The 25,862-nt window shown below is 36.8% G+C and overlaps 1 protein-coding gene across 4 annotated transcripts in view; it reads left to right on the top strand.

Moving 5' to 3' along the window:
• Positions 1 to 18,824, top strand: part of SKAP2 (src kinase associated phosphoprotein 2) — a 209,821-nt gene extending 190,997 nt beyond the window's left edge. For 3 of the 4 annotated variants that reach the window (NM_003930.5, NM_001303468.2, XM_047421010.1), the window contains 2 exons: positions 3,402 to 3,503; positions 3,938 to 6,526. In NM_003930.5, the coding sequence (NP_003921.2) occupies positions 3,402 to 3,494 (93 nt within the window). In that variant the 3' untranslated portion in view covers positions 3,495 to 3,503; positions 3,938 to 6,526. Of the gene's footprint in view, positions 1 to 3,401; positions 3,504 to 3,937; positions 6,527 to 15,659 lie in introns of those variants that run through there. The other variant, XM_017012771.3, reaches the window with a different exon arrangement.
• Positions 18,825 to 25,862: the final 7,038 nt, after the last annotated feature.

Here is a 25,862-nt window from a genome sequence, read left to right as displayed (position 1 = left end):
CTTTTGAGTACTATTTTTATACAATAAGCATCACTACACCTCTGGATCTTGATAGCATTACTGCAGGAGGAGAAAGCAGCTTTGTGTTAGTAATTACCTAACATTGTCAGAAGCTGACTGCAGGCCTCTTTCTAGTGATAACAGAATAACCGCATAATGTAGCTTTATAGCACATGATTAATAGAAAATAATTACACGTCCTACAAAGGGATGCAATATTTCTTATAAATTGACTAGAATGGTTTCCTGTAGATTAAAGGACTCTTCATTATTTTATCAGTCCTCCTGAAGTACAGTCACTTGCCTATGTTAGCATTTCAGCTGATGTTAAGAGCTGAATAGGTGAAGGATACCAGATGGCAGACCTCCTTGTACCTGAAACCTTGTGTTCCATAAAGATTACATGATGCTTCCTAACATTTCAAAGATTTAGACAACAGCCTGGTATGGATTGTCTATTTTTTGTTTGCTAAGAAGATAAAGTTTGAGAGTTTTCCTTTTTGTTTTTTAAATGATCCACTTGTGACTTTATAGAACAATACTATAATTAGTTTGTGGACTGCAAAACAACATTGTATCAGTTGCATTATTTTCCACTGTAAGTAATATATCATTCATAATCACATTTGTTTGGGGGTGGAAAAGAGGAAAGGCATAGACAGGCAGATTTTCTTTTTCAGAAGGAAACCTTGTACAATATTGAATGTTCAGGCCAAAGTTTAGAATACTGTACTCCAAGAAGCATTTTCATTCCAATTTATAGGCTGCAAATGGTTTAATTGGGATTCATGTTGCTCAGGAGGCTCATACAGAGAATAGTAATGATAAAAGTAAAAAGCTCCTGTATTTGCAGTCTTGTCAACACTCTAATGGCTGCAGTGTAAATCCATAAATTTGCCTCCTGTATTTTTACCTCACTATATTTGATCATAATGCATTAATTTCAAACAGGAATATAATTTGCAATTCTTTACAAATATAAGGTAATATTCTGGTTTTTAGTTTTACCTTTTCTGATTTAAATCTGATATTTTAGAGTATTTTTATCAAGTGTATGTTTCCTATGTTTTTCAATTATTTTAAATTAAGTGAAGCATTTAAGATTATTTTAGTCTAAACCTTTTTTCTCCCTAGAGTATAACTTTTAAGGGATTTGTTTATAGTTGATTAAGCTCCTCCCTGCTGTTTACCACTATGCTTTCTAGTTAATAAATCTTCCTGTTCTACCATAGCACAGAATTCTCTCAACTGTGAAGTCTGCCCTTGTTGATGTGATTTCTTGGGAACTAATTTCTTAAATTTGGGTGTGAGTAACTTTTTGAAAATGATAACATGCCTTTAGTTGATAGCATAGACTATGACCAAAGTAGAATATTATAAAGTAATAACTTTCTGTCTTGTAATTTGAATCTAAGCATTGACCCCCAGATTGAGGGCCATTCTCTGGAAGCAAGTTTATGCCAATAATATGTCTTCTCACTGAATGTTTTCTATGTCTGTCACTGGGGAGCAGGGGGCTAGTTCCTTTTCTCATTCCAAATAATCAGTTTCAAAAATCTTATATTGGCATTGAATAAGAGCTTTAACACTCAGACCTACCCTGTTAATTATCCACTTTGAAATCTTACAGTAGTCTGTGGAACGTTAAGTACGTGTGTTTTTTTAAGCATTAGGCTTTAATTGTATTCATTGCCTTAAAAATAGAAAAGGGTAGTTTTATTAGGTACCTATTAAGATATAATCGTTGCTAATCATGACTTTCAGTAAGTTAGTATTTTCTTCTGATAAATATGTCCTACATAGATTATAGCCATCATTGGGTTCTGGGCATCAGAGTATCCTCGTTCCTTATACAGCTTCGTCCACTAAGTTCACACTATCAATGAACTTTAAAAGTTTAAAACTTAAAATCTTGAGTTTACTGCCTCACAAGCCAGAGCTGTGCCCTCAATAGAATAACAATAGCAGGAGTGGTCTTTTCTCCCCTCTCCCCCTCCACTTTGTTCTTCCAATAAACCTAATCCTGATACTGCCCACTGTTTGAAAAAGTGCCTATGGATTTTATCCTATAATCTCTCTATTGATAGACTACATATCAATACATACACGCTAATGTAATGCTACATTTGTATTAAAGAATTGCATAATTTTCCTTTCTGATGGTCAATAGCATACTAATCAATACAAATATTAAGTCTGTACTAGTATTAACATTCCCTCCCCACATATAACTCAATATACATATGCACATTTATCTATGACTCAGATGCTGGAAAATCATAACCTATTAAATTACTTTTGGGATTGATTTTGAAAATTTATCTTATATGAAAAATTAAATTTGAGCACTACAATGCTTGTGAAGAGTATTGCTTTTGGAAGATATTATTCTTGAAACTTGAAATTCATTTTACTTTGTTTGTATCTCACTACACATAAATAAATTTGAGATAAAAATACATTAGTCAATCTGGCAGACATATGAGACCGGTTATGGAGTATTCACAATGCCTAAAGCAGTGGTGTATCTGTCAAAGGAGGAAAAAGTGGGAGAAAAGGAGGTATAGGTTTGTTTATCTCAAGTTGCAAAGTAAATGCAAAAGTGACTCATCGACCACTCTGTTTTAGAGGTAGATTAATATTTTGCCTTTATACCTTGAGATACTTTTATTTCCTATTGATCTTCCACTATAAGGGTGACTCTAACAGCACCTTTAAATTCCTTCTACCTATTCTTTATCTAAGGTAGTTTATGGTCAATAATAAAGGAATAATAAATGCCTTAGGGAAACTATTTTAAAGGAACCTATTTGTGAATTATTTTTTAAGCAGTTTTTTGGTATTATTAGTGTTTCCGTATTCTCTAATTTATCTGTTAAAGTGTGTATATTAGATTTTCTTAAGAAGGGGCACACATCTATCAACATTCTAAATCATTTTAGGTCATATAAGTTTAAGAAATAAGTAGTTTATTGTAAAAAAAATTATTTTATCCTTGCTAGATGATAAGCTTCTTGAAGGCAAATATAATAGCTTAAGGATCCTGGCTTTAACCTTCTATAGCCTCTTACACATGAAAGGTATCCCCAGGCTCTGTGGAGAGAGAGAGTGTCCCCGAGAGAAGGCTTCCTGAGGTAGTTTCATTTTCTAGGTTTTCATCATGAGTGATTGTTTCTGTGTTCTGTGCCCAATAATAAACAGGCTTTGTGTTATACCTTAATTTAAATCGTTGCCTAACAGCATTTTAAAGTGTCCAGAAACAAAAAGATGAAAATGTTTACATTTGCAGCTCAAGCTCTTTTAACTTTATAAATAGAAATAACATTTCTAAGAAGTTGCATACAAACGACATTGTACTTACACCAGTCTAAAGGTTAATATTGCATATTGTTTTCAATTAGGAATACAATAGATATGGCTGGTGGGTAGGAGAAATGAAGGGAGCCATTGGCTTGGTGCCTAAAGCCTACATAATGGAGATGTATGATATTTGAGAGTCCTGGGTAAGTACATTTTAATCCAATATTCTGTAATAGCTCATATGTTCTCTTGGTCTCTTCGTTATGAGTCTTTGCCTTTTTAAAAGTCTTTAGAGTTTTCTGATAACACAAAGATTGTGCCCCGAAATCTTTTTTGTTTTGTTTGATCTGGTTTAATTTTTAAAATAAGAATTTTTAAAATAAAAACTTTATGGAATTTACTTTGGAAATGAATAGATTATTTAGAGAAAGTTCTTTTGATAGTAACCAGCTGTTTTCCCAAACTTCCTCCTTTTCAGTAAAATACCACTTTTTATGGCCTTTCTGAAGAGTTGAATTGACAAAATGTTGAGTAAAAATACATTTTTCCTTGGCTAAAAGTGTAATTTTTTTAAGCAGGAAAAATCAAGTTTCAGCTGAATCAAAAATTAAAATGCAGCTTTCCCTTTCTCCTGCAGAAAAGGAAAATTCTTCTGCTTGTCTGCAAATGCTTTGGATTTAGAAGCGTCATGAAAGCACGAGTGACAGCTCCTAACCTCTCCTTGTTTTATTAAACATTACTTATCTTTGACTGTTATTTTATGCAGTCGCTCATTAAAATATTCCTCTGATGTGAAATTAAATGAAGGATATTAATGTAAATTAGATGCAACCAGTTAAGTTATACCTGTTGCTATTTTGCAAAGAAATAATTATAGTTTTTATTTACCCATTTGATTTGTGTGAAGAATTCATCACTATTTTATACGTAACATATAGTCTACTATAGCATAGTATGCTACTATTGCTACTTCTGGTGTGATTTGTAATGTTTCTTAATCATTGGACATCAATTATTTTTAGAGAGTAATGTATAATTTCATAGCATTTTAAATTTAGTGTATCATGCGAGTTTTTTTTGGTAGATGCTGAAGAATGTGGTTGCTAAACAAAGAATGCTAAAGAATGTTCAAACTTTATAGATAACTTTATTGTTATTATTTATTTTCACACATTTAATTCCTATTAAGTACAGCCGCAAGAAAGAAAAAATGATGAAGTTGCAAATGGCAGTGTGCTGTCACCTGCAACAGAAGTGCGTACCAGAAGTATGACTCATGCAAAGCATTTTACCGTACAAATATCCTGGTGCGATGATGGGCCTGGCAACATTTTCTACTGTACTTTTGTTTAAATTTAATGAAACAAAAAATTCCTAAGAAATACCACCCTACCACTAACAAAATGGTATAAAGAATCTCCCAGCCAGGCCAACATGGTGAAACCCTGTCTCTACTAAAAATTAGCCAAGTGTGGTAATGTTCACCTGCAGTCCCAGCTACTTGGGAGGCCAAGGCACGAGAATTGCTTGAACAAGGTAGGCAGAGGTTGCAGTGAGCCAAGATCGCGCCACTGCACTCCAGCCTGGGCGACAGAGTGAGACTCCATCTCAGAAAAAAAAAAAAAAAAAAACAGAATCTCAGTGTATTCTCAAAGTAAAAAGGCATAACCAAGCACTCTCTTATCTTGCCTTATTGCTATACTATTTACATCCCACTGCAGAACAGCAGATTTGAGGCTTTTCTATATACTTCTCAGAGCACTGAAAAGAAAGGAAGGGTTTGCAGAGGAGAGTGTAGAAATCCCAGTGGTAGCATGTACCAACAGGTGAGTAGAAAGGTAGTGTTAGCCTGACATTTGAGTTATACTCTGTGCTGCCTGAGCAAGATTTGTAGAATCATATAATTACCTTTTCATGTATATTTGAAATCAGAGGTGTTTAAAATACCTATGAGATACCAATGTAGCCTTAACATATGTCAAAATGCATTGCTGGTTAGATAATTATTTGGACTACACATAAACTCCTAATATTGAATCATTACCTATCAGGTATTATCTTTATGGAACTTTTCAATATCTTTGCTTTATAAAGATTCTAAACATGTATCTGAGCTGGTAATATTTTAAAATCTCCATTATTTGTGTAAAACTGTTTATAAGCAGTGTTTGAGAGGGTCTGCTTTACCATTACCCCCTCAATATCATGATCATCCAATCTCAAATGTGAAAAAAAAAAAGAAATTTGATTTTAGGGATTGTGAGTAAACAAGTTTATATAGAGAGACATTGTGAAGTTAAAGTTTTCAGAAGTTACATTTGTGCAGTTCTTACCTTTTCCTCATATAGTGCCATTGAAATAGACTGAAATTATCTTGGCAAAAGTTAGACAACCAAAGACGACTTTAGTGGACTGGTTTTCAAAACTTGAGCAGCTGAAAAGCAAAAGCCGTTGTTTCCCATGACAATGTAGCCTTTGTGGATTTGGGTTTGTGCTTTGGGTTGAAAAGAAGTTTTTAGTCCTAGGCCAGTAGATGGCAGCAGCTTTTCATTGCAGACAAAACCTCTTGAAACCCTTCCCCCATGGCACAAACTCGCCCATGATGGAAAGCATCTAGATTTCTGCCTCCTTTTACAGTTAATCCAGGAGAGGGAGTCCTTTGCCAACTGATGACCAACAGTTCCAAGCCAGATAGTCTCGTGAACAGTGACAATACAGAAATAAGGTGTTATTTCTGTTCAGATCTCCACCGGCCTTTGTTCTTTTAAAACTTGAATATAGGTGGGAGACATAAGAAAGGAAAGAAAAGACTTAAAACTGGAGTGACAGGACAAATAATCATTACTTTCAATTCATGACTGCTTTATATTCATTTGATGAAATCATTTGTATACAAACCAGGGAGAGTTTTCTTTACACCCTTGACAATATATCACATACTCTTCAAGATCATAATAATATCATTAATATAAATTTAAACAACATGGCTTGTTAGAAAATATGCTAATTGCTATGGTCTCATTATGTTTGCTTAGCTTTTATTTGTTTTTCTGTGAACAGTTAGAGAGCTAATTTTTTTCAAAGGTGATTGTAAGTCATATTTTATATAGCATTTTGCTTGATTATTTGCTCTGTACTGAATTTGTACTCTATTGCCATTAGATCTTACAATAATGTTCCACTCTGCAAATTTTTAAGGTTCAAATAAAGTTTAATTGTTTGCAAACTGTTATGATGCTAATAATTCAACAGCCTGCTGTGTTACTAATGAAATTACTTTGTTATGATTAATTTGGAAAATAGTGTGTTGATTGTAGTAATTAAGCACAACAAGGTGAAGTAAATGATTCTAATGCCATCTGGCCGCCAAACTGAATGAAGAAATGAAATAGGGCTGTCATCTGAATTTATTCAAAGAAGTAAGGATAATACAAATGACTTTCATTGCTTTAGGATTTACACTTAACACAGCTCACTCCGTTCTATTTTTGCCACTTTGCTGCATATGACACTTTCTTTCATAGAAAAAGAATGTCATTTAGTCCAGCAATTGTTTTGAATACTTTATTTTATTGGAAGCTGATTATTTTTACTGTGTGCTAATTTAATTACAGATAATTACATAAAGTATTATAGGACCATGGGAAAAAGAAATCACTTTTCAACCATGTGTAGGTGAAATCCATATATATGGGGTTTCGTTTTTGTTTCATGTTTTGTTTTGTTTCACTTTTTGCTATCATTACACAACCACTTTGAATATAGCCTTGCACAAAGAGTAGGGCATCCATTCAACTGTTTCTTAAATGTGTACAAAGGCTCACTCTTAGTTCTTATGATTTCTACTTTTTATATAATTTCATGTAATTTCTGCACTCTACTACTTGCTACTTATTCATAGACTGGTACTATCCAGGGTCATAATTTAAAATAGAACTGAGTTAGATATTATGAATTCAGATTTGCAGTTCAGCCATTAGAAGAAAATTAACCCTAATATACATGTTGTTTAAGAGCTTGAACTTCATCAGTGAGACTGAGTGAAGCATTGTGAGAATTTTTAAAGTTCTAAATTTCAGATAAATCAGTCATTTGTATTTCATTTGTTGGAGTTATAGACACACACCATATAGAGATCACTTTTGCTTCTCTTGAGTTCAGTAGGTTCATGACTATTGAAAGCAATCCACATGGTAAAGAAAGAGGTGGTGAAGAGTGGAGATCAAAACATGATCAAGCCATGGAAAACACAGCTTCACTCAAAGGTTGAAAGAATACTTTGTGTGTGTGTGTGTGTGTGTACACTGTATATATATATAAAATAAAAACATTTGATGAATATGATCTTATTTATAGTAATATACTTAGTATTCAAAAATACAGAGAAACAATAAGTACTACATTGTTAAAATATTATTATACAAGTTTAATATATACTCAAATGCACAACAGTTTATACTCTGGATTGGGAACAAGAGATTTCTAGACATCTCAGCTTTAGCCAGTTTATTATACGCCTACTGCTTTATAGTTGAGTTCTTCCAGAATATCTGTTAGAACCTCTGATAGCATACTATTTTATGATGAGATAAATACTTTAAAAATCATATGATCACAGTAGCATGGAATGACATTTCATTAATGCTATGTTTGAGGGGCTTTTTCTTGTTTCTGCTAGTAGAATCTGTTCTACCATTACTTATACACAAACATATTATTTATTGCCAGCATGGTACACATTATATGGTGTGGATCCAGTAAATATTTGTTAATTAACTGATTTGGCACCCCACAATATCTCAAGACATGAGATTTAAGAAGAAAAGAGCTTGACTAGTAAACCTGGTAGAGAAAATGCCTTTATACAGTTAGTATATCCCATAATACTATCAACAAGTAGATTGGATTTTATTGTTATAACAGAATTGAGTGAGATTGTGAATAATAAGAAAGTTGAGTTGTGGTACATTGTCCTTAGATGTTTCCTTCCTTTCTTCCCTTGTGTTCAGTGTTGTGACCTCAAATAAGAGGCACAGGTGCCTCCTCGGGCAGCTTGGGGCAAGTGATCTACTTTCACTTTCCAGTGAAACATCTCAAATCACTGCTGCCCTGCATTCCACTTGCGTAATATCAGAGAAGCCTTTCCTGCATCTGATCTTGAAAGCATTCTAGCTGTCGCCTTGGGCAGATCAAAAATTTGTGCAAGTAAGTGGGAAGTTTCACAGTTGCTGCCAAATCTAATCATAATTTAGCTTTTGTCCTTTTTGTTAACTTTTACTCCCTGTTTATTTAAAGTTGTATGATTATGTTAACTTGAGTGCTTTGAGTCCCCAAAATGAAAGGAACTGTAAATGCAGAAAGTCGCCTTAGTCATACCACTGCTCAGTTTAGGTCTTCAGTGTTGAGAGAGGGGCTGGAAGTTGAGCAAGCCAAAACACTTGACTATGTGCAAAGGCGTGAATATAGAAACTGCTCCCAAAGCCCATCTCTTAAGTACCTTTCTTAATGCTGGAACTTTGGAAGGTGTTTCCCTAGGTTTCTCTCCTCTTTTTTTTTTTTTTTTTTCTTTTCAGTTTTCTTTTTTGTTATCCATTACTCGGAGAGGCAATATAGCACAGCCCTTGTCTGTTTTCTGTTTATTGGCCTCAACTTTCTAATATAAAAATATCACTCCTGCTAGAGTAAAAGCAGGTGCCATTTTGTAGCTTGAACTGCAATTTACTTCTTGTTTGAGGAAAGTGTCACACAGGTACTCTCAAAGGAGAAAATTAATGACACTAGTGTATGCTGGTTAAAGACAGCTGCTTTCGTGGAGGAGAAAATTCCAACAAATAAGCAGATTCTCATCTACTACCCTCCCCTCCCAGCTCCCATGGGAGTCTATTTAGAAAACCTTGTGTTCTTTATCACATCAAATGTGATGATAACAGTTTAAGTCAGACTAGTAATAGTAATAGCTAACATTTACTGAGTGTTTACTATTTGTCATGCTGTGCACTTTTCATTCAATTCTTATAACAACCCTATGAAGTAAGTTCTGTTATTCATTACCATTTTCCCGATTAGGAAACAGGCTGAATAATTTGTCCCCAAAGCCTTAGGGTAGTGAGTTACCTAACCAAGCCTCACACCAGCCTCCTTGCCCTGAATTGAACACTGTTCTGCTGCGCAGTACTGTGATGAATTAAAACCAAATGCTTATTTGGATTCTTTGCATATAATAGGCACACAACAAATGCTTGTTGACCACTGATGAGGTCACCATTTCTAGAAAATAATCTGAAGCATGTGAAAAGAATCATCCAATAATTGACAATTGGATAGCTGAATTTGGCTCACTAGTCAGGAAAGCATACCATGGTTATCATATCAGATCCAAAGCAGCTGATCCGCAATGGAGACGAAACTTTTATGCAGGAACACTTGACGTTCCAGTCCAGATGAAAATAGGAAGTCAATCAAAGCAGCAGAGTCCAGAGAGGACACCAAGCCAAACTGACCCTTTTCTAAGGACCTTTTCCCATCCTTCCCACCTCCTCCAATGTGAAGCCCAGTAAAGGGACCAGCCAGGGGAGCCTTGAAGAGGACTGCAAATCCAGCTGCTTCTGTCTCAAATAGTTGTTTTTTAGGAGATGGGTTTTAATTGATTGGTTTAAACACATAAAGGATTGTTAACAAACTGTACCATCAGTAAACTTCATTGTAAAACATGTATAATTTTGTAACTGAGTGATGGCAATGTCTGACCTGACTTTTGCTTGTTGAGATATGAATTTGTTTAAGAAGAATTTTTATTGGAATATCTGATACATAAGTACGTACAAGGTCTTATTCCGTGGACACCCAAGCAGTGCCTTGTACTGGACCTCATAAAGACTTCTGTTGTGTTTTTTGAACAAGTCCTTTTTAAATAATTTTGTACTTCAGTGATTGGAGGCTGAGGGTTGGGGAGAGTGAAAAGATTAAGAGATAAGTAAGGACTAACATTCACTATTATGGCTCTGGAATTTAACCAGAGAGGTGGTAAAATTGAGCCCTCTCATAGTCTAAAATACACCCTATAGTACTGACTGTCTTATAGCCCAAGAGAAAGGGGTGTACCAAAGTTCTATTTTCAAAGGGTATTTGATTCTGTAGAGTTCTTTGAAATGTTTCCATGCCTACTATTCAGAACATCATGCTTCTGAAGGACAAGGAGTGAATGACTGCATTACCCTGATCTCCAGCTGCCCAAGTAGATCTCAGTGGTGTAAAATAACCTGTCCCATCTAGGATACCCTACTAATTCCTAATTCCCAGGTCAAGCGCTTGTGGTCCGTAGAGTCTCTGTTGCTCCCTGCTTTCATCTCCTTGCGCCACTTTCCTCCTCCTCCTCAGGCTATTCCAAGGAGCTGGAGTCATATGAGGCATGAGATGTTACAATTCTTATCGCTCTACATAGTTCACAACGTCAAGTGTGCCCTCTGCTTTCTGGGAACCCAGCAGAAAAACAAGTTGTGTAACTGTGTGTTTATCCTGTTATAAGCATCCTGAATTGAAAAACCTGAAATGTAGCAATCTTGTGAATGTGTGTTATTATCTCTCTGTTGCTTTGCTTCAGTTGGTCAGCATATTTGCTTTATTCTTTATTATCGTCTCAGGGCTTGCTATTTTTCTTCCTATCTAATTAAATGATTCCATTTTGAATAAATTACATTTAAGTGCCATCCTGTGCAAGGGGTATTTCAAACATAGAATTTGACATAGTCTTTCCCAAGTAGATTCATAGTCTGAATAAGATAGGGCATAAACACAGGGAAGGATAAGGACAGCCCCACATAACCTTACCTTGGTACAGTTCTTAGCAGGTTAAGCCACTAGCAGTGTCCTAAGACATAAAAGGTTCTCTGATTTTGTGATATCTGAACCTTAGGGATTATCTGGGAAACAAACTGGGAATCTTTCCTTATGTATGTATTTTTAAAAATAAACGGGGAGGGAAACGCAAGGGTTTCAGTATTGTTTCAGATGAAAATATTTTTAAAAAAATTCCAAAATGCTTGTAGCTCCTGAATTAAGTGTGAGGGGAAGCAAAGAGCTGTGTATATGAATAATGTGAACGTCTTTTACAGAGTTGCTACCAGTTATGGTAACATAACTCTGGAAGCTGAGAGTGACCCTACCCCTTTAGGAGTAAGGACTCTTTTCCTTCAGTTGGAGACAGAGTTGTACCAGCAGTATTCAGCTGAAAGTGAGTAGTAGTAAGAACACTGGAATTGGAGTCAACCAAAATTCTAGTTTCACTCTCTAGTGCCTTGTGCCCTAGAATAAGTTTCCTTCCCTGCGGAATACCAGTGGTGCCTGTTCTCTCTGCCCTGTCAGGATTGTGGTTAGGCTCAAGTGAGATTATGTTTAGAAGTGACTTGAAAAATCAACAATAGCGTCAAACATGGCTTTCCTGCATTTAAAGATATGAGAACTGAAATGAAACAATGATCAAATAATTTCTCCTTCACACCGAAATCTAGCAAGGGAAAAAAATGTTGATACTCAGCATTGGCTGTAATACTACTTGAAATAATTTTAGTGAGCCCTTGGTATTATTATTTATAACAGAAATTGATGCAAATAATCCTAGAGGAGTTTGAGATTTGATTCTCCTTTAATTTTCAATGCATTTTTTGATCAAGTCATTGACTTCCAAGCTATGGTCAATTTCTGTTAATGGTGATTTTAATCACAGAGATGTTACTTCTGTCTATAAAGTTTCTAAATAAACTTTTCTCATGATATTTAAAACCACCAATCTGCTAATAATAGTCTTTAGGTATATGTTGTAATATTTTTTTAAACTGACATTCTAAGGAAAATTTTTGTGCTGACTTCCTTTGCCCATTGTCTAATCCTTTTATGAACTGTTTCTTCCAGATGTCTATCTATGAATGTTTGTGTGTGAATACACACTTTCTAGTTAAAAAACATCAGATGCATATCTAGGAGTGACACAATTTTATTTTCTCTAATTAGCCTTGTAATATAGCACTAATCTTGGTTTGTAGTTTGTGAAAATATGGGGCTAGAAATGAGGGCAAACCAGAACCTCGTTACATGTAACCTTAATGCTTTAATGTTATAACTTTAGGCAAAGCTAATAAAAGATGCAAAGGACTCTTAAATAATTTAAATTATCTAAAAAATTGAGCATATTCCTTCAAATAATAATGGCTTTCATGAACTGATTTTTTAAAAATTCATTTTTCATGTGAATTACTTAGAAGATATCAAAGTAAGTTTGAGTTTATTTAAGATTATTAAGTATATTTGTTATGCAGAGTCGCTGAAGATTCCATTTTCTAGTCTAGCAATTGTAATCTATAGCGTGATGTAGTACATAATTCTGGTAACATCGGATGATGTCATGGTAGTATAGAGTTAATTCTTAGCACTTCTCTTTAAAACGGTGCTTTGTGATGTGATTCCTTGATTATTTTGAACCATTAATCAATTCTATCAGCTTAAAAAATAGACACATTGTGTACCTGTTACCACTGGTTTCTAAAATCAAAGTTTCTCTTACCATCTTAACCTTACCAGTTTAAGCTGGGAAACTATTACTTTTATAATGTGTTTATATTATTATCATTACATACTCTTTGATAAAGGAAAACAATGGGACTATACTAAATTGTGGCAACTGTGATTAAAGATAAGTCTGTTTTCTAAACTTTTCCTAAGTGATTATAGTAGAGAATTTCAAGCTATAAGTATACCATCCTTTGCTTCTCCTAAAGCTATGATCTATAGCAATAAATACTCTGTATTGATACTACTTAATTTTAATGGATGTATACTGAGGCTGGAAACATATTGTAGCTTAGCATTTAGTGCCTTAATTTTTAAACAGTTTTGAAATTTTAAAAATTGATATAATTGCCTGAATATTTTGTTATTGGACCCGTTTCATGCTAGAAGATTATTCTCATTTCACATCTTTCCTAAAAATTATGTTGTTCACAATGTATTTCTACTGACACTTCATTGCTATTTTTGCATAACTGAAAATCTGTCATTTTCATTTTAGCTCAGTTTGGAAACATGAAAACCATATCAGAGCAGCATATTAAAGATTAGTATAGAAACACACAAAAAATGAAAGAGCCACATAGAGATAAATTTAGTCACATTATTCAAGTGTGCCATTTTAATCCATTAATCTGGTTTGAGGCTGCTTAAGAGAAATATTTCTCTCTGAATGAGTTTTTTCTCTTAAAAAAATGTTGAGAAGAGAAGCATCTCATCTAAAACAATTACCATGGGTTTTTTTGTTTTTTGAAGAAAAGGGTAAAGCAAGAGCCGCCCTAAACTCTGCCATAATTTATTCTTAGTCAAAAACAGATTACCATTTACACATTAGGTATTAAAAGCTAGTTATAGTGATTAAAGGTTGTCTTTCTAATGCTATGTATTAAGATACCAATACGACATTTATTTTCAAGCTATTTTGGGGCCACAGGGGAAGTTGTTTTTCTTATGAAGGGAATTCTGTATTTTACTTCATTATTTATAAGTATATATATATTTAAAACTATACACACACACATATAACTGGGAAGGGGAGAATGGGAGCTGGTTGTTTCTTTGAATCCTAATACTGTATGTCTTCTTAATGAACCTGCCGCATTGCCCAGAAAACAGCTCCCTGCAAATAAACATGCTAGAAGTGATTTAGCCACAATGTCCAGACTGTGTAAACATCTCATTATTACAATAAAATTGTCAATAAATTTACATTACTGCTCCCTTTTCAAACGTTAACCAACTTTTTCTTCACTTGATAAAAGGGCATAAATTGTATTTTTATGTGTTGGTGTTTTTGTTTTCATTACACCTCTTGCTGCACTCTAGACAAAAGACCTCAAGCCTTAATGCCCTGAGTTATTCCTGGATGAAGAAAACTCCTACAGTTGTTTATTAATGTAATGTGCTGTGTTCCTTTCACAGTGAGATGGACATGGAGCCCTCACAATCTGATCTTTAGTCACGGCATTTTTTAAAAAGCCATAAAGCCAGTAGTATTGTAGTCACTGCAGCTTTAAGAGAGACACAAAGAATTAAGGCCCTTATAATCCACTATTAGAATGGGAATTTAAGTTACATTAGAAGCAAAAGATAAAACGGCAAAATGCAATAATTTCCTTTAATAAAGATTATGTCCAGTTTTCAGAATTATGATATCACGTCGAACATAATTGTGGAATAAGCCCCCGCCCCACCAACACACGTATTTCTTATATAACTGGTACATTAACATTAGAAAAGCAGAGTGATATTGAATTCTAATGAGGTCTGGCCTATATGCTCTGCTAGGAGAAGAATGAGGATAATTCATTTGTATTCTACAAAGCACTTGGAAATCCACGGGCATCCCTGTGGCTTCAGCACGTGGTGCTGATCATCTGTTCCTACTTGGAGTTGGTGGGGGGGTGGGGGGTGGGTATTCATTGCTTTGAACAGCATCTGAGCTGGGGAAAATAGTTAACCACTTTCTTGCTAGCTGTTGTTTCCTAATGACTATTTAATATGGTTGCTCTATGCATTTGCATTACCTATTCTCTTCAAGGATCTTAAAAATTGTGATGCCTGTGTTGGTGACAGTGCACCTCTGTAGAAGCCAAACAAAGAAAACGAAGTGAAATTCAGTAGGATAAATGTGTTTTCACCATCCTCAGTAAACATGTCAGTTTTAAGTAAACAATCAGATGACAGTGAGGTATTTGTTCATTAAAAAAAAAATCTGAAAAATGCTCCATTTGATCTGATACTGGCTGTTCAGGAAAAACTGCATTCATTTGTGAGTCTTGCTGACATTCTGAGAAAACAGCCCATTTTGGAAACTTATATTTAGTAAAACCAAGGAATGAAAGATTTTAGCAAATTGCCACGTAAAATGATCTGCACAAAAAGGCATTGGGGAAGTGAGCTAAGGCCTGTGCCAAACAGATGGCACCCCCTGCTGTGTTTTTGATTGAAAAAGAAAGGTAACATTTGCAGCCACGTCAAAGAGACAGTGATCAGCTAAACAAATTGGTCTCCAAAGTACCCCATCGCTAGAGCAAACCCCGCTGCAGGGTACAAGCGAGGCTGTATTTCAAAATAATGCTATGTTTGCGTCTTTCCTAAGTGAGGGGATATGTCCCCTTTTCATGCGGCAAAGAGAAGATGAGGTCTTTGTTGAAGTCGACTGCAGTACTATCTGCAGAATAAGCAACAGACCTCAGTAGCACAATTACCCGTTTTCTCTGATCACCGCCAAATGCCTACAAATAATATTTGGGAAGACCGCAATAGCTTCTTATATATTGTTCACTTTCCTGTGTCAGGTCTCCAGAGCTTACAGAGAGGAAATTGGTATGCAGCATACAAACAAAAACAACACCAAATCATGACAAAGGCACAGTCTGAGGAGGAGAAAGAAAGAGGAGATCAGGAAAAACTCTCCTTGCACTTGAATTCAATTGCAAAATACAAACATCAAAAATGGCAAAGTGTGTGTCAGTGCGTAAGTTGGGGCGGGGGGGGCGGGGATTTTTTTTTTCTTTGGCTCATCTCAGCTGGCAGCCTTATTCCGCTTCAGTAAAGACAAGGTACAGAAATGTCCTTTGGGTGACATTCAAAACTCGATATAAATCCTCTGCTTTATGAGACTGCAGTGCAATAAATTACTTAGCCTAATTGTAGATGTAATGAATTACCATAATTAGTCATGGGCTACATTAAATTAATCAGCATGGTACATTATTTTGCTAAATTACATCTTTGCCTTCCAAAGCCACCAGTGCAGCAATCAGTGTTTTTTGCAAGAGGGGAATGATGCTATAATGAGAAGCCTTTCTGCTCCTAGAACAGTGACAGGATATGAATTTTGATGGGAAGCAGGAAGGTTTGGAAACACTGGAGTTCCAACTTGTGCCTTAAGTGTCTTTGGTTGTTAATGATACCCCAGTCCTCCTGCAGGGGAGCAGTGGGCTGTAGCTTGCGAAGGCTGTGGAAGATTCCCCTCACAGGGGAAGAAAAACACTTAGATGGTGCTTTAAGGCAAATAATATAGCTGATACAACAAGTCACAAAGCAGTGGGGTGGCAGAAAGATAATGTCTTTGAAAATATTAATAGATTTAGAATGTTCTTTTACATTGGTTGATGAGATTTATAGTTACCAGGTATTTCTTTATGATTATTATTATTATTCAGACCGTTTGGATCCAAGATAAAGCCTGTAGCTATTCTTGTTTTTTACTTAAACCTCCAGCTGTTCAAAATCTTGCTTCTGCTTCTCAGTGGGTGATCTGGAGGCAACCCACATATGATCTAAATATTATTCACTCTTCAGGAAAATCTCGGGCAGCCGTGGGGTTCATAGACTCATAATCTGGGAGTATAGGTGCTTGCTTTTGTAGAAGGTCTTTTTTTTTTGCACTGGGGCCGGAGACACATCCTGGTAGATGAACCATAGAAAGTAAGAGGTACTTCACCCATATTAACTCTTTGTATGAAATATCTTTGTAAGTTCCACTCTTTCAAAAAGCAGTGCTCATTCTCAAACCCAGTTACCTGCTCTTTACTGTCCTGTGTTGTTATGAAAGAGTTTCTGCAATAAGATTCATTGTCTTGATTCCAGAATAAGCTCTTTGGGGTTTGTATAATATTTTTGATAGTTTCTTGGTTTATTTTAAGAGAAGAGCTGTAACTGATCTGCACATCTGTATAACGGAGATTCAAGAAAGGCTTTCAGAACATATCTGTGTTTTTGTTTGTACACTTGTCTGCTCATACCAGAGGAAACCAAGTTATTATCAACTTGTTTGGAAACAGTATAACAGTGGAATGACACAGTGAACGACTATGATATGAACACAATCTTTAAAGAGTGGAAGTGAATTAAAACCTAATATCCAAAAGAAAAATACAAATAAAGCTTGGTCACAGCTGTAGAAAAATGCATAGGGATGCAGAAAAGTCCTGTATTGTAATTTGTGTTTTTGTCCTGGTGGGAAGCCATTTAATTAGTGCAAGAAGGTATTGAATTTTAGCTTATCATGCATATTGTTTTCCAGCTGTACTGAGGATTGCCAAGTTTCTAATGGCCTGACCCTGTTCTGTAAATCAGCAGTAAATTGCGGCATTTACACTGAGCAAAGGCAAAGGGCTCATTCTGTTGGGTTTGTGCTGTCACAGGAACCTGGGCTAAGGGATTAATAGGCTGATGTTAAACATCTGTCCCCTGTCTTTGGGGGGACGTAAACACACAAAGAGGGAATCTAATGCCATCTACTAAAAGATCTTCAATGAGAGGAAGCCCTTGCTAACATTTCCATCCAGTGGCACCTTAGACACATTGCCTCTTTATGCTAAAACCCCACAGCACTAAGGGCCCTATAAATAGTCTCCATGTGACAGCTCAGAGAAGAAGAGAGGTTTCCTCCAGACATTAGTTGTGCTAAAAGATTCATCATTACCTGCAGTCATGAAATAAATCTTTGATACTTACAACTATAATATCCATGCTCTACGTTTTATTGCAGATATAGGTAGACAGTCATTATTTCTGACACTTTCTCAGCATTACAAGGAGTACTCTAGGGGGAAAACTAGTGTACGGTGTTACAGAAATAGATTGATATAACCACATAGAAACCAGTTACTTTACTGAGCCATTGTAACCAATACAATATTCCCTTAATGACATTAAACAGTCACCTAGATTCCAAATTCAGTGTAGGACTCCTATCTAAAAACAACCTCAGTTATCTACAAATTAAGTTGCCAAGAGGGAAATTTATTTTTTTCATCATACAATGGTTTACAAGAAATATATTCCTGAATGACAATAATTTTTTTTAGCATTCAAGTTTATTATTATTTAGGGGACATTAAAACAAGACAATGGTCAACAGCAATCACTTTATGGCACTTGTGGGGCATTAGAAATCAGTATATTGAGAAGCCTCCGCTTAAGAGGACTTGGAGTGGTTACTGTACAGTAGATACTAGTGTCACATAAATTGCAATAACATGATTTATCATACAGAAGAGGTGTTAAAGTTGTCTCTGGCCATGAGCTATTTAAGAGAGAGGCTTTTGCACAATGTTTTTGAGCCCAGCAAGTGAGTTATGGAATCCTGTAAGAGTTCCTTCTTACCTGTAAGTCACTGCTTTTAGCAGTGGTGATCTCCTCAAAACCCCTGAGCAATAGTAGGCACAGGATTTCAACCTTTAGTTACATCACTTGTAACTGACTGCCACATGCTTTACCACAGCAGCTCTAAGAGGCCATCTGATACACCTGGGGACCACCTGATATCACCAACGGGTCCCTGGATCACTGAATTCAACTAGTAGTCGCCACTTCTGAAAAGAGTTATCAATTCAAAAGGAATCTTTGTGTTTGCATATTTAAAGCCAAGATAATTATTGGTAGTGTCTGCATAACAAATGTAATTTCAATTAGACTGTTTTTCTCAATTAAAAACTATTGCTTGTGTGTAATGAGTATTCCTATTTTTTTAAGTGCATTTTTAATGTTTTTATTCTAAGAACATTAAGAGCATTGAACAAAAGATTGTCCGATTACTGTATAATGGTAACAAATATGCCAAGTCTTTCATTTCTGTGGGAACAAGTGGGGGCCAGTGGAGCAGGGCTGTGAAGGCTGATTGTTGCAGAGATCTTCAACACCAGACTAGAGGGGACAACATTTACAGTTGTACGGTTATAGAAGAGTAGGTTTTTTAAAATTTAATTTTCAAGAAAAGTTGCAAGAGGTTATCCAAACACTTCTTTGTGGCTTAATATCCATAACATTTGATAATGCTGTATTTCTTGTGTTGAAATGTAATAGCATAATGTTGAGACTTCTACCCATATTTAGGCTACTGAATAAAATTAAAAACAATATGACCTTCTGATAGCATATAAAAAGATTGATTGTGCAAGAAAAACATTTGCCATGGTACATAGGATCATTTTACCATTCTCAGGCAGATTTGAGAATTATGCAATTGAATGGAAAAATCAAACCAGAGATCCTTCCTTCCTGTGCAAACTGGTTTCCATGGCTTTCATAGTCTGGCAGTTGGGGCTACCGCTGTTGTTGATTACAAGACATTTGCTTTTGTTGTTGGTTTTTGCTGGCATCGTGTCTGAAACAGCTTAGGAAAAGTGAATATTCATATGTGTTCTCCCCATCTGACATCATTTCACCACTCTCAGGCCTCTCCATAGTGTTGCTTCTTTGTATCTGGAGAGAAGCAAGTTTTTAAAAATCACTTGTTAAAATGGATCTTGGATGTTTGTTTCCTATTTTCTAAAAGCAGGTTGGCTATTTTGCCCTTGAGCCTTAAGAAATGTGGCTCATTGGCTGTTTGTTATTTTTAAGTAATATATGGCATGTATCCAAGTAAGCATTCCAATGACCTCGACAATAAAATGTGATTCTTGGCTGCAAGGTCTGTTGGGGGATGGCAGGCTGCCAGCCACTCATACATCATTTACAGGTGGCTGTTTCTGACAGGCCAGTGTTAGTTATTGTAAATGAGTGACAGTCCCTATAACTCACCTGTAAGCCCCACTCCACTGGCCCAAAGCATCCAAGATCCCTGACCTCTTTGGCACACGTGCTTGTCTATCGTGAAGACCCCCACACCCATATCCTCACATGCACGCTGCTGCCTGCACAGGCTCATCAGTACGTGGAGCTACCTTGTATGTGATTGACGATAATTAGGTTTCAACTGCCTTCTGATGCAGAAATACACACCATTACTGCATGGCCAATTCAGCTCCTGCAGTCTTGCCTCTGAAAGGGTATTGATTCACTCTTTCACATTTTTAAAAGGTCATGGCAATAATTCCATCTGAACTGTGCTAAGTGAAAATGGTTTGTAGAAATAATATGGTTGCTTCTTAGTACCATTGTAATTGAAAACCACAATGACTTGTTTTTTTAGTATACTTTAATTACATATGTCACTTTGCTCCATCTTACCCTGATGAAGTGTTTGTAAAGTTATAACCAGCCGACCTTTTCTGTTAATGCTTTCTGACTTTTTGGCCAAGAAGACTTTTTTGTTTTCCTACCGTGTAAGGTGAAGCCTAACCAAACACTTGGGTCACACTGCCTTATTAATTTATGAATTGAAAAGAGAAGACACGAACCTTTTCCTGGGGTCTGTCATCTGCCTGCCTGTTTTAATAAGATTAGAATATATTGGCTCTGGTGAACAGGATGCTAAATTTGCTTACTTTCTGAAAAATTGTATTGTAAACAGCCTCTTCTGGGTTGGCTGAAAAATATTATCCTCGATCGTTATCAGAACATAATAAAATGAGTTTGTTATGAGAACACATAGCTCCTGTAGTGTAACCACCCTAGCAAGTGACAGGAACCTATGAATGATATAGCATAAATTGCCAGAATACTCAGACCGCAGTTTGAGGCTTTTTCCTACATCTTCAGTGTTTCTGAGGTGAAGGAGTTTTAAAGTGCTTGAATTGCATGTTTTGGGAAAGTGGGTGATCAGATTTTATGCTCTGAGCCACCCCGTATCTTTCTCCCAGTTAGAGGGGGTAAAGTATCAGCTGTTTCTAGCCTCAGAAATGAGCCAGTCATTGCACTTGCAAACTAAGGGGCATATTCTCATTGAGAGCATGGGGATTTACGCACATAATTACCATTAATGCTAATGGCATTTATGTCTGTACAGCCCCACACATCAAGATGAGAATATATTTCCACGTCTTCACGCTGTGAAAGTCCATTTAATATTATTCATTTTACAACTTATTTTTAAAGATGATGTCCATATTCTGTCATGGCATACGTATGCCTAGTTAAAAGTAAATGTGGGAAATATTGGGAAGAGATGTGATAGCTAAACTTGTTCATGTAGATGAAATATTGCTGAACTCAGATCCATTCATACTCTTTAAACACAACGCTCTATTCGGCTTTGAAACTGCTGGCACACTTTTCATACTGCTATAAATTTGTCAGCCTAATGGGACATTTTGTAGATGTTTTCCTTTTTAAGTGCTTTAACAGGAGTAGGTATTCCATTGATCCAAAAATCCAGCTCAGCGTTTCATTTCTTAGAGATGAGAATCATACATTTAATGTCTTATCAGAAATTAAGTGGTGGATGGTACCCTTCATCTCTTCAAGGAAAGAAAATGTGCTCCCCACCGAACTCTGTTCTCATCTGGCCTCTGGGAACATCTCGAGAGTGCGGCATGGTTTGCAGTTGGAAACATCAGTGGTCATCAGAATCTGAGGCTGTTCCCTCTCTTCATTGATTGTGTAGTTGTCTTTATGCATCAGGCCCAGTAGCCTATTGAAAGGTGTCTTCATGTCTATGCTGGCCAAGCAAATTCAGATCCAGGTCTTGATTTATCTTTCCAAGGACTTTGGCCATTAAAAGAAAATAATGGATCTATCCCGACTGTCCAGTCTCTGAAGCCCTGATCTTGCAAAGGGGCTATGCATTTATTTATTTTATTTTATTTTTTTGAGATGGAGTTTTTCTCTTGTTACCCAGGCTGGAGTGCAATGGCACAATCTTGGCTCACCGCAACCTCCGCCTCCCAGGTTCAAGCGATTCTCCTGCCTCAGCCTCCTGAGTAGCTGGGATTACAGGCATGCACCACCACGCCCAGCTAATTTTGTATTTTTAGTAGAGACAGGGTTTCTCCATGTTAGTCAGGCTGGTCTCGAACTCCCGATCTCAGGTGATCCGCCCACCTCGGCCTCCCAAAGTGCTGGGATTACAGGTGTGAGCCACCGCGCCCAGCTGGGGGGTTCTGCATTTAAAGCACAGACATAAGAAGGGGACAGGAGTGCTGAGGTCTTTCCTGAGGGCACCCTTCAGGTCTCCTCCATAGGTATACACAATCTCCTCTTGGGGAAAGAGAAGAGCTTTACATCTCAGAAGGCTAAATGAACTAAAGATGCCCAATAGTGCCCAGCTGGGTGACCTCAGGGAGGCCACTGGACCTCTCTGAGCCTGTTTTCTCACTGATAAAATTGAGCAGAATGAATACTGAGTGTTTTACCTGATTAAAACTTTATAACCAGTGCCATGTTGTGTTTGGCTTTTATAAGTATTGGGATTACGGGGAATTATAATGAATGACCAGAAGGAAATACTGGTTTCCAAGGGTTTAAGCAGATGAGGAGAGACTGCTTTAACACAACACATTTGTAGTGCAGATAAGATATAGTCTCACAGCCTAATTCCCATGCCCACTCCGCATCCTCATACATGATTACATTGCATTCAACTTGGTGACTTGTCTATTCGCAGCTTGGCTGCAGAAGCTGCTGTCAGTGGTGTTGACATTAAATTCCATGGGGCAGAAGGCAGTGGGCCCTTTGGGATGGAAACTGTCCCAACTGTACCATCTTTCCTGGCATGACCAAACTGGCAGGCAGGGATTGCTTTACCTTTCTTGCCCAATCACCAGCATTCTCTGGGCTTTTTCCTCTTAAGCTTACCATTTTCAAAATCGTGTTGATCACGTAATTCTTTTTAGCCCAAAGGCATTGCCCTCCAGATTTCCCTGATTCTAGTAATACGTTGTTTTTACCCAGTGCCCTAGATGCTTGTTTTGTAAGTTCATGGCTCCACATATAGTACAAGTGTTTTGTAAAAGACCATTACTTCATTGTAATAATGTGAGTTATCTTATTCTCATTTTTAGAAGTAGGGCTACTCTAGCATTAATTCAACAATAATATGCATCAGCATTGGGCAAGGACTTGGGGATAGAGTTGAATGAAACACTTCCCATGACTTCTAGGTCTAAAATAGTTAACACTCGTATAATGTTTACCAATTTCAAAGGACTTCTCTCCACATTTTCTCATGTGCTTTCCACAATAATTTGGCAAGGGAAGCAGAGCAGATGATATTATTTCCATTTGAGAGAAAAACTAGGCAATTGTTCAGACTCCCATGGGTTAGCAGTGTTGAGTGCCACCTCAAATTCTTCTGGCCACAGACCTCTTGCTCCTACCTCTCCACCATGTGCCTACCCAGAGCCATAGCCAAGACAAAGTATTCTTAGTAAACCCTTCCCAATGTGTTCTGCTTCTGAGATGCATCTAATACTGTGAGAGACTAAAACGGTGGTGAGTGGAGGAGCTGGTTAAGGTGTTTAACCCAAGTCTCCCTATGCCATGCCTGTTGGATTGGTGCCTCCTTTGGGTGATGAGGCAAGGGCGGCCCGTCCACTGCCTGAAGTTTCTAATCCAGTTGTATACTTTCTTGAACTTACACCATTGAAAAATATCAAGGTCAGAACATGATTGAAGAACCTTTTTCCTCTCTTTTAAGTTACCACATTTATATATTGTTTTGCACTGAAGAAGGTTCTCTTAAAAATGAGGTTGAGATCCCTAAAGAAATTGCTTCAATCAGCAGCAGGGCTTAATGACTGTTAATGGGAAGTGGAGATAGGATAGTAAGTGTTACTTTGATTAATAAGAGAACGGCAGAGAATTTAAATTGTGCCACTGATGGATTATTTTCTTCAAGCTTGATAAGCACTTCTCATTTGTTCTTAAATTTGGTCAATACTGTTAAAGGCAGCAAAATGAAGTATAATTAATTCTATTACGGCTACTCAGACCAAGTGTTACTAAGAAACAGATTATGATGCCAACAACAGTGGGAGTCACAGTGCTGACAGTTTGATTCTTTGAATACCTGTCATCGCTTATTAGCCTGAAAGAATGAACAAAATAATTCTGTATTCTGATTTTGAGATACCTAAAACCATTTTTTTCCATCTGTGTGTGTTCCACTGACCATAGTACAGGAAATATCAGTAAGATGATCAACTGACACTAAAATTATCCTGTATTGGAAGTATAGAGAGTAAATAAAAGATTGAGCTAATATATCAGTGAAAACATTAAGAGCTGATGCTCATTTTGAATTAATCACTAAGAAAATGGGATATTGATTTGATGTTGAATGGCTGTTGAAAGCTTTACATATTTCCTCTTTTCCAAAGATTCTGCCCCATATTAATAAGCCATGCTTTTTACTTTTCCTATTAAATTTATTCGGAACTGTTGATATGCAGATGACATTTAGAGCAAAGATACTTTATTTTAGTAGACAATTTTATTTGCTATGAATGCTAATGCCTAGGACACTAGACAGACCCTTTCCCTTGTTTTCTGCAAACAGCAGGATGCATCAATATTTTCAGAATAGGCTTTTTTTCTTGACCCCTTTAAAATCTATCCCTATCTATTTATTTAAGAGATACAAATCACTCTATAAGTTATGCTAAAAGTCATGGCTGAATGTGGGCTGATACATACAAGGTCTTACCTACTAGTTTTTAGCTTCTTAATTCAGTGACTCTTAGCCTGGCAGTTCATACTCTGAGTCATCTCTACGTAATTCAAGGAGTGCTTGCATGCCTTAAAATGAAAGAGATTAATTCCACTTTATTTTTTGAAAGAAAATATGCAATACATCAGTTCTGTTTCACAGAAACCACTAAATAACAGCAGGATTTTACAACTTCAGAAAAACTGGGCCTCAGACTGAACATGTGTCCTTCTGTTCACTGTTTCTAATTCCAAGTGTTGCGTTTCTTCCAAGTGTATAAAGTTACTAGGTGAGTAATCTAGGGTTAATATAAAATCTAAGTATGGTTGGTTAGTAGTGCAGTTATAAAGTTTCTCTGAAGTTCTAATTCCATTAATAAAAAATGTAAACCTTATCTGTTATGAATTGAGAACCAATTCTTTTGCCCAGATGTCCCATAAACATAATTTCCAAAGATGGGAAAATTATAGGAAAAACACTTCAGACCAGAATGTGAAAGTCAAGCCATGCTAGAAGAGCTTGTCTGCAGAGCATGTCTTTGGAGACAGAATCCAGGGTATGAGAAGGTGCCCTGAGCCATCAGACTGCCAGTAGCCCTAGTTCCGGGGGTACTTCTGCTACTGCACAGCGCAGAACGACCTTGGGCCAGCCTCTTGATCCCCGTGAGACTAAGTTTCCTCCTCTGTAAGGTTAAGGGTTGGCGCAACTGATCTCCCAGGTTCTTTCACCCCTAAAAACACTGGTCTTTGAGTAAAGCTCGTGCATAAGATATTCAGATGATCCTTTTAAAGCTGTTTGCTCAAAACGATGTGGTCTGTGGTCTGTATAGACACTAGAAAGGCCTGCTATGCTTCAAGCTCGTGTTCTCCCAGTGTGGATAATAATTCATTCTTCAGATGTTAAGTGGCCCCCACCACATACCAGGCCTGTGCTCCATGCAGGACATGAGGAACCCAGGCTTGTTTCTGCCCCCAGGGAGCTTCCTCACTGAGGGTGGGGGAGGCAAATGACAAGTGCACACACCAGCATGTAACAGAAAAGATTCCTTCAGATAAGTCCACTGAAGAAATGCAAGCCAAGAAATGTGATCAAATATGGTCAGAGAAGGGCTCTCTGACAATGGGAAACTGAGAGAGAAAAAACTAACCAGCAGAGGCAGGTGAGGGGAGATGGAAAGGGTAAT

Source organism: Homo sapiens, chromosome 7 (genome assembly GCF_000001405.40).
Source record: "Homo sapiens chromosome 7, GRCh38.p14 Primary Assembly".
Taxonomy (NCBI): Eukaryota; Metazoa; Chordata; class Mammalia; order Primates; family Hominidae; genus Homo; species Homo sapiens.
The sequence above is the reverse complement of the archived record's forward strand: the minus strand, read 5'-3'. Positions and strand labels throughout refer to the sequence as shown.